This window comes from Homo sapiens, chromosome 1 (genome assembly GCF_000001405.40).
Source record: "Homo sapiens chromosome 1, GRCh38.p14 Primary Assembly".
NCBI lineage: Eukaryota > Metazoa > Chordata > Mammalia > Primates > Hominidae > Homo > Homo sapiens.
Window position 1 is genome coordinate 92977289 of NC_000001.11, and position 10119 is coordinate 92987407.

The 10119-nt window shown below is 40.9% G+C and overlaps 1 long non-coding RNA gene across 1 annotated transcript, besides 1 other annotated feature; it reads left to right on the forward strand.

Moving 5' to 3' along the window:
- Positions 1 to 981: 981 nt before the first annotated feature.
- Positions 982 to 10119, forward strand: LOC124904219 (uncharacterized). The gene is made up of 2 exons (XR_007066223.1): positions 982 to 1365; positions 8020 to 10119. It is a non-coding gene; the product is annotated as an uncharacterized LOC124904219 (long non-coding RNA).
- Positions 2079 to 2128: a silencer, noted in NCBI's record as "silent region_1080". NCBI's record gives its function as "represses an Ori minimal core promoter by ATAC-STARR-seq in GM12878 lymphoblastoid cells {active_cell/tissue: GM12878}" and the evidence as "EXISTENCE:reporter gene assay evidence [ECO:0000049][PMID:35858748]".

The following is a 10119-nucleotide window of genomic DNA, read 5'->3' on the forward strand; positions in this document are numbered from 1 at the left end:
GACCTCAGGTGATCTGCCTGCCTCAGCCTCCCAAAGTGTTGGAATTATGGGTGTGAGCCACAGTGCCTGGCCATGTATTTCTTAAAACACCTCTCAGTATAGATTCAAGGCCAAATGCTAAATGTAGGTCAGCAAAGGGCCAAGTCATGGGGGAGGTGGGTATTGATATTGAGACAATGTAATCCAAGAAATCTCTCCAAGGATCTATCTCCAAACCTGACAAAATTTAGGATGACTATGGAATGAGCCCATCCTATCAGGCAATTCTCCTCAACATGATCCTTACAAGTAAACGTTTGCTAAGAATTCAACACCAGATAATTCAAGATTATATTTTCTGAGAACTTGAAGTGTGGAAGTTCCAAGGTGTAGTAAAGCATAATTAACTGAGAATTGATGCCCTTTCTGAAAGGAAAGCACCTAACCAGTATGCATACTTAAATAGAAAGTCACCCAACTTCCCCATGGGGGTGAACTGGAAAATGCAGGGCAAAGATTTTCCTTAGATTATATTTTTGGGTTCATTCTAACATATACACAATGAGCATGTAACATGAATTCTCAGCTGGAAGTAAAAGAGTTTTAATTATGAAAGTAATAATCACTCGTAAATTATTCAAACACACAGAAAGCCCTCCTACTCCCATCCTCCCTATTCTTGCTCCTTCTTGGTAACCACAAGGATGGTTTCTTGTGTCTCCTTCTAGACCTTTGTCTATGTGTATCTTTAAGGAAATCCCCTGGGGGGGCCATGATATCCTAATATTGTTACTTAATGATTCTGTTTTTCCACAGAGCAGGTGAGATGAGCAGGCCATAACTATTGTCTATTATTCTTCAGCAAGGTACAGCAAGATCCGTGTGGTCCTGCCAAGAAGATGGGGCTCATAATCTGCAATAAAGGAGAATTTCTTTTTTTCTTTCTTTCTTTCTTTTTTTTTTTTTTTTTTGAGATGGAGTCTCGCTCTGTCGCCCAGGCTGGAGTGCAGTGGCGCGATCTCGGCTCACTGCAAGCTCCGCCTCCCGGGTTCACGCCATTCTCCTGCCTCAGCCTCCTGAGTAGCTGGGACTACAGGCGTCCGCCACCAAACCCGGCTAATTTCTTTTGTATTTTTAGTAGAGACGGGGTTTCACCATGTTACCTAGGATGGTCTCGATCTCCTGACCTCATGATCCGCCCGCCTTGGCCTCCCAAAGTGCTGGGATTACAGGCGTGAGCCACCGTGCCCGGCCAATAAGGGAGAATTTCTGGAGCATCTGTAAATTCTCTACTTTAAGCTGCTTCAAATAGAAAGCAGCCCTGCTTTTTGTGTTTCTACAAAAGACTGGGCAGAAACCTGCCTGTCCTTCAGGGTCCCAAATGAGGTAAGAGGCCAAAGTTGGCCATCACCATGGGGGTCACAATTTATGCCCTGAAAGAATTAATGGAAGGCATCAGAACATTTCATTTTGGAGCATTTGTTCACTCAGTTTGGCGGAGGTTGAGCAGAAGTAGAGATGTCCCTCCTGTTGATTGATGCTCATTGCCTAGTGAGCAGAACCCACTGTGGGGCCCAGTCCTCTTCAGATCACTGAGCAAGCCCACCTTCAGGCAGAAGGGCAGGGGTAATGTGGTGGGTATCAAGACATTGCCAGGTCTAACTGCAAAGCAACCCCCACCCTCACTAAAAATAGACGTGTGTGTGTGTGGGTGTGTATGTGTGTATTTTAAATTAAACAAACCCCCCAAAACCCTCATAACACTCTCTATGTATCCTTCAATTTTCATCTTCTGACTTCTTTAAAAAATGAAAATAGAGTCCTACTCTGAGAGATGAGGAATCCCCAATTTTGGCAGATTCTATATATATGTATTGTTTAAATAAAGGAAAATAAATGAAATTATATTCTATATTTCATTCTATAATTTGTTCTTTCCATTTTACGCTATATTACCTATATGCTACCACCTAAATTCATTCTTTTTTTTTTTTTTTGAGATGGAGTCTTGCTCTGTCAGTGCAGTGGTGCAATCTTGGCTCACTGCAACCAACCCTCCTGGATTCAAGCAATCCTCTTGCCTCAGCCTCCTGAATAGCTCAGATTATAGGCATGCGTCAAGACACCCAGCTCATTTTTGTATTTTTAGTAGAGATGGGGTTTCACTATGTTGGCCAGGTTGGTCTTGAACTCCTGACCTCAGGTGATCAGCCACTCTTGGTCATTCTATTTTTTATAACAGTTTTATAATAAATATAGGGCCATAGTTATAAAGGATCTTGTTATAAAATTATTATAAAAATGTACCATCACATGAATGCACCACAAATTACTGAAGCTTTTTTATTAACAAATATTTTACATTGACTCCAATTTTCACTTGTTCAAATCATGTTTTAGTGAATATTCTTTTGTGTATCCCCTTAAACTCTAGAGTGCAGTTTCTTAGAAATAAAATTGTTGGTCAAAAGATACATGCATTTTAAATTGTGGTAGTTATAGGTAGACTATCCCTTATGTGAAATACTTGGTAATAGAAGTGTTTCAGATTTTGGATTGTTTAGTATTTGCATGTATTTATCAACTGAACATCCCTAATCTGAAAATCCAAAATCTGAAGTGCTCCAATCAACATTTCCTTTGAGAATGACCTGTAAGCTTCATGTCAATGCGCAAAAACATTTCAGATTTTGGAGCATTTTAGATTTCAGATTTTTAGATTATGGAAGCTCAACCTATATTAGAAAATTTTTCTCTACAAACATGGTACCAATTTTTATTCTCGCAATAGTATATTACAATATATGTATCCTCCTTTTGTTTTTTGTTTTTGTTTTTGTTTTGAGTCGAGGCCTTACTCTATCACCCAGGCTGGAATGCAGTGGCCCTATCACAACTCACTGCAGCCTCAACCTACTGGGCTCAAGTGATCTTCCTGCCTTAGCCCTTCGGGCAACTGGGACTACAGGCATGTGTCACCACTCCTGGCTGTTTTATATTTTTTTGTAGAGATGGGGTTTCACCATGTTGCCCAGGCTAGTCTCGAACTCCCGGGCTCAAGCTATCTGCCCACCTTGGCCTCGCTAAGTGCCAGGATAACAGGCGTGAACCACCACACCCAGCCAGCCTCCTTTTGTTTTAATAATTATTTTCCTAATTAGAACTCAGAGTGTGAATCTTTTTTATATGTGCACTATTTATTATTTCTTCTCATGTGATTTGCTGTGAATGTAGTGTTAATTCTTTAGTTAAATTGGCCCTGTAAGATGCTGCTCAAGGACCAAAACTAGCCCCTAAGTTTTCTCTTTTATTGACAACTGGGGACATATTAGGCACAGGCATGCTTTGTTTTATTGCACTTTGCAGATACTGTGATTTTTACAAGTTGAAGGTTTGTGGCAACTCTGTGTTGAGCAAGTCTGCCAGCACAATGCTTCTAACAGCATGTGCTCACTTTGTGTCTCTGTCACATTTTGGTAATTCAGGCAATATTTCAAGCTTTTTCATTATTATTATATCTGTTACGGTGACCAGTGATCTTTTACAGTGCTATTGTTATTGTTTTGGGACACCATGAACCGTACCCATATAAGACAGAGACCTTCATCCAAAAATGTTATGTGTGGTCTGACTGTTCCACTGACTGGCCACTCCCCTGTCTGTCTCTCTCTCTTAGGGCCTCTCTATTCCCTGAGGCACAACAATATTGGAATTAGGTGAATTAATAACTCTAGAATGACCTATAAGTGTTCAAGTGAAAGGAAGAGTCACAGGTCTTTCACTTTAAATCAAAAGCTAGAAATGATTAAGCTTAGTGAGGAAGTAATGTCAAAGGCTGAGATAGGCTGTAAGCTCGGCCTCTTGCACAAACAGTTAGCCAAGTTGTAAACGCAAAGGAAAAGTTCTTGAAGGAAGTTAAAAGTGCTACTCCAGTGAACACATGAATGGTAAGAAAGTAGAACAGTCTTATTGCTGATATGGAGAAAACTCTAGTGATCTGGATGGAAGATTAAATCAGCTAAAGCCTAATCCAGAGCAAGGTTCTAACTCTCTTCCATTCTATGAAGGGTGAGAGAGATGAGAAAGCTCCAGAAGAAAAGTTAACAGAGGTTAGTTCATGAGGTTTGTGAGGTTTAAAGATGCCACCTCCATCATGTAAAAGCACAAGGTGGAGCCGTAACCACTGACGTAGAAGCTGAGCAAGTTATCTAGAAGATCTAGCAAAGATCTAAGACTACACTAAACAACAGATTTTCTTTTCTTTTCTTTTTTTTTGAGACGGAGTTTCACTCTTGTTGCCCAGGCTGGAGTGCAGTGGCGCAATCTCAGTTCACTCCAACCTCCACCTCCCAGGTTCAAGTGATCCTTTCACCTTAGCCTCCTGAGTAGCTGGAATTACAGGCTTGAGCCACCACACCCAGCTAATTTTTGTATTTTTCATAGAGACAGGGTTTCGCCATGTTGCCCAGGCAGGTCTTGAACTCCGGGCCTCAAGTGATCCGCCCACCTCAGTCTCCCAAAGTGCTGGGATTAGCGGCATGACCCACGGTGCCCAGCCCAAATTTTCTTTTCTCTTCTTTCTTTCTTTTTTCTTTTTCTTTTCTTTTCTTTTCTTTCTTTCTTTTTTTTTTTTTTTTTTTGAGACAGAGTCTCCCTCTCTCGCCCAGGCTGGAGTACAGTGGTGCAATTATGGCTTACGGCAGCCTCAACTTCCTGGGCTCAGGTGATCCTCCCATCTCAGCCTCATAAGTAACCGGGATTATAGGCCCGTGCCATTATGCTTGGCTAATTTTTGCATTTTTTTGTAGAGACAGGGTTTCGCCATGTTGCCCAGGCTGGTCTTAAACAACTGGACTCGAGCAATCTGTCGGCCTTGGCCTCCCAAAGTTCTGAGATTACAGGCGTGAACCACCACGGCTGGCCAACAACAGATTATCAGGGTAGGCAGAACAGTCTTACATTGGGAAAGATGTCACCTAGGACTTTAATAGATAGAGAGAAGTCAATGCCTGACTTCAAATCTTCAAAAAACAGGCTGACTGTCTTGTTAGGGGCTAATGCAGCTGGTGACTTTAAGTTGAAGCCAATGCTTATCTACCAGCCTGAAAATTCTAGGGCAATTAAGAATTATGCCAAATCTACTCTATCTGTGCCCTGTAAATGGAACAACAAAACCTGGATGACAGCACATACGATTACAACCTAGTTTACTAAATATTTTAAGCCCACTGTTGAGACCTACTGCTAAGAAAAAAATATTATTTTAAAAATATTACTGCTCTTGACAATGCACCTGGTCTCCCAAGACTTCTGATGAAGATGTACAAGGAGATGAATGTTTTCATGCCTGCTTACAACATTCATTCTGCAGCCCATGGATCAAGAAGTAACTTGGGGCCGGGTGCAGTGGCTCACTCCTGTAATCCCAGCACTTTGGAAAGCCAAGGCAGGCAGATTACTTGAGCCCGGGAGCTCAAGACCAGCCTGGGCAACATGGCAAAAAGCTATCTCTACAAAAAATACAAAAATTAGCCAGAAGTGGTGGTGTGCACCTGTAGTCCCAGCTGCCAGGGAGGCTGAGGATCACCTGAGCCTGGGAGGTCAAGGCTGAGCTGAGATCATACCACTGCACTCCAGCCTGAGTGACAGAGTGAGACACCGTCTCAAAAAAAAAAAAAAAAGTAATTTTGATTTACTTCAAAATTTTCAGTCTTATTTAAGAAATACATTTCTTAAGGCAATAGCTGCCGTAGATGGTGATTCCTCTGACAGATTTGGACAAGTAAATAGAAAACCTTCTGGAAGGGATTCACCATTCTAGATGCCATTAGGAACATTCATAAGTCAGATCCGGTGGCATGCACCTAGCTACTCAGGAGGCTAAAGCAGGAGGATTAGTTTAAGCCAGGAGTTCAAGGCTGCAGTGTGCCATGATTGTGCCTGTGAATAGCCGCCGTACTCCAGCCTGGGAAACCTAGTGAGACCCTATCTCTAAAAAAATATGTGATTCATGGGAGGAGGTCAAAATATCAACATTAACAGGAGTTTGGAAGAAGTTGATCCAACTCCCACAAATGACTTTGAGGGGTTCAAGACTTCAGTGAAGGAAGTGACTGCAGATGTGGAAAAAGCAAGAGAACGAGAATTAGAAGTGGAGGCCAGCCATGGTGGCTCATGCCTGTAATCCCAGCACTTTGGGAGGCCGAGGTGGGCAGATCACTTGAGGTCGGGAGTTCAAGACCAGCCTGACCAACATGGATAAACCCCATCTCTACTAAAAACACAAAATTAGCCAGGCATGGTGGTGCATGCCTGTAATCCCAGCTACTCGGGAGGCTGAGGCATGAGAATCGCTTGAACCTGGGAGGTGGAGGTTGCGGTGAGCCGAGTTTGTGCCATTGCACTCCAGCCTAGGGAACAAGAGTGAAATTCTATCTCAAAAAAAAAAAAAAAAAGTGGAGCCTGAAGATGGGACTGAATTGCTGCAATCTCATGATCAAACTTGAACCAATGAGGAGTTGCTTCTTGTGGATGAGCAAAGAAAGTAATTTCTCAAGATGGAATCTACTCCTGGTGAAGATGCTGTGAACATTGTTGAAATGACAACAAAGGATTTAGGTATTACATAAACATCATTGATAAAGCAGCAGCAGGGTTTGGGAGGATTGGCTCCAATTTTGAAAGAAGTTCTACTATGGATAAAGTGCTATCAAGCAACATCGCATGCTAGAGAAATCTTTCATGAAAGAAAGAGTCAATTCAGGTGACAAACATCATTGTTGTCTTATTTTAAGAAATTGGGGCCGGGTGTGGTGGCTCACGTCTGTAATCCCAGCACTTTGGGAGGCTGAGGCGGGTGGATCGCTTGAGGCCAGGAGTTCGAGACCAGCCTGGACAACATGGCGAAACCCTGTCTCTACTAAAAATACAAAAATTAGCTGGGCATGGTGGCAGGCGCCTGTAATCCCAGCTACTTGTGAGACTGAAGCACGAGAATCGCTTGAACCTAGGAGGTAGAAGTCGCAGTGAACCAAGATGGCACCACTGCACTCCAGCCTGGGTGACAGAGCAAAACTTTGTCTCAAAAAAAGAAAAAAAAAAGAATAGAGACAGCATTTCCTAAGTCTGCCTGCCTGACTATCATCTTACCAACCCTAAACTGCCTAGATTTATGGAAGGGAAAAGTTAAACTTTTAACTTGTCTAAGCTCCTACTGTGTTGAATTTGCTGTCACTTGCAGCCAATACAAATCCTAACTGATACAGAAGGTGCTATTACACCAGAAGAAGGGAAAATTTCCGGGTAAACAAAAAATCCAAATGTCTCTGCACAGATTTTGTTAATAACTTTTCAAAAATCTCCCATTAGTTATCCACAAGGTGAATTTTCTCACTTCCTTTAAGTTCTTGCCAAACTATCACTTTTGTCTTTAAACACTTTCATCGAGATATAATTGATATACAATAAACTGCATGTATTTGAAGTGTACAATTTGGTAAGTTTTGACATATGTATATACTGTCAAGCAATCACCACACAAGATAGGGGATATATTCATCACCCACACAAGTTTCCTGTATCCCTGTCCTTCTGCCCCTCTCTAGCCACCCCTCCCCAGGTAATCATTTATCTATTTTCATCACTATAGATGACTTTCCATCTTCTAGAGTTTTATATAAATGAAATACTACAGTGTGCCTTATTTTTTTCTAGATTCTTTCACTCAGTGTAATTATTTTGAGATTCATCCATGCTGTTGTGTATATAAGTAGTTCATTGTTATTTACTGTAAGTAGTGTGCCTTTGTTTGGATAGATCACAGTTTGTCTATTCACACATTAATAGACATTTGGATTGCTCCAGTTTTTTGCTATTACAAAGAACTCTGCTATGAATGTTAATGTACAAGTATTTATATAAATATATGCTTACTTTCCTCTTGGGTAAATGCCTAGGAGTTGGCTGGATCATATGATAGATATATATTTTACTTTTTGAAAATCTTCCAAACTAATTGGTATCATTTTGTATTCCCACCAGCAGTGTATGAAGTTCCAGTTTCTTCACATCTTTGACAACAATTTCCTATTATATGGCTGGACAGTGGTAACTTATTGTGGTTTTAATTTGCATTTCCCTAATGTCTAATGATGTTGAGCATCTTTTCATATGCTTATTTGTCATCTGTATAGCTTCTTTGGTGAAGCAACAGCTCAAATAGTTTGCCCATTTTTTATTGGAGGTTTGTTTTCTTATGTAGTTGTAAGAGTTCTTTATATATTCTGAGTACAAGTTCTTTATGAGATGTATCCTTTGAAATGTTCTTTCCTGGTTGATGACTTGTCTTTTCATTATCTTAACAGTATATTTTGAAGAGCAGAAGTTTTTAATTTTTCTGAAGTTGAATTTCTTTCTTTCTTTCTTTCTTTTTTTTGAGACAGAGTCTTGCAATGTCACCCAGGCCGGAGTGCAATGGCGTGATCTCGTCTCACTGCAACCTCCACCTCCCGGGATCAAGCGATTCTCCTGCCTCAGCCTCCCAAGCAGCTGGGATTACAGGCGCCCGCCACCATGCCCGGCTAATTTTTTGTATTTTAGTAGAGACGGGGTTTCACTATGTTGCCCAGGCTGGTCTCAAACACCTGCCCTCGTGATCCGCCCGCGTCGGCCTCCCAAAGTGCTGGGATTACAGGTGTGAGTCACTGTGCCCGGCCTCTTTTTCTTTTTGTTTGAGACTGAGTCTCACTCTGTCATCCAGGCTGGAGTGCAGTGGGACCATCACAGATCACTGCAGCCTCAAGCTCCCCGGCTCAAGCGAGCCTTCCACCTCAGTCTCCAGAGTAGCTGAGACTATAGGCATGTGCCATCATGTCCAGCCAGTTTTTAAATTTTTTGTATAGACAGGGTCTTTCTATGTTGCCAGGGCTGGTCTGGAACTCCTGGGCTCAAGTGATCTTCCCGCCTCAGCCTCCCAAAGTGCTGTGATTAGAGGCATGAGTCACTGTGCCCAGTTTTAATTTTCTTTTATGGATTTTGGTGCTATACCTAGGAAATCTTTACCTGACCTAGTATCACAGACTTTATTCTATTTATAAGAAATGTTATAGCTTTAGGTTTTATGTTTCGGCTATGATCCATTTTGAGTTAATTTCTGCATATGATATGAGGTATGGATGGGAGTTCATTGTTTTCCATCTGGATATGCAATTGTTCCAGCACCATTTATTGAAAAGACTATCCTTGACCCACTGAATTTTCTTCATACATTTGTTAAAAATCAGTGTCCATAATATGTGGGTGTTTTTCTCAGACTCTCTTGTCATAGTCAGTTTGGGCTGCTATGACAGAGCACCATAAACTGGGTGGTTCATAAACCACAAAAATATTTTTCTCATAGTTCTGGAAGCTGGAAGTCCAAGAGAAGGTGCCAGCATGGTAGGGTTCTCCTGAGGGCCCTCTCCAAGTTGTAGATGGCTTACTTCTTGCTGTATCTTCACATAGCAGAGAACAGAGAGGGAAAGCAAGCTCTCTCATGACTTTATAAGTACACTAATTCCATTAATGAGGTCTCCATCCATACGACCTCATCTAAACCTAATCACCTCTCAAAGGTCCCACCTCCTGATACCATCATATTGGGCAGTAGGGTTTCAACATATACATTTTGAATAGGACACAAACATTCAGTCCATACCACTCAATTCTATTGTTTTGTTCTATTTTTCTATCTTCACACCAATAATACACAGTCTTGAATACTGTATAAGTCTTTATAAGTCTTTAAATCAGGTAGTATTTGCCTTCCAAATTTGTTCTTTTTTTTTCCAAAATTGTTTTGGTTATTGCAGTACTTTACATTTCCACATAAATTTTATAATCAATTTGCAAATTCCAAAAAAAGTCTGCTGGGATTTTGATTTGAATTGCTTTGAATATGTAGAACAAATTGGAAATAATTGACATCATAACAATATTTAGTTTTCTGGATCAGAACAAAGTATGACTCTCCATTTATTAAGTTATTCTTTCACTTCTTTCAACAATGTTTTATAGTGTTCAGTGTGTAGGCTTTTCACATCTTATGTCAGATTTATCTCTATGTATTTAATGTTTTTTAATTAAAAAATTTTTATGAATCAA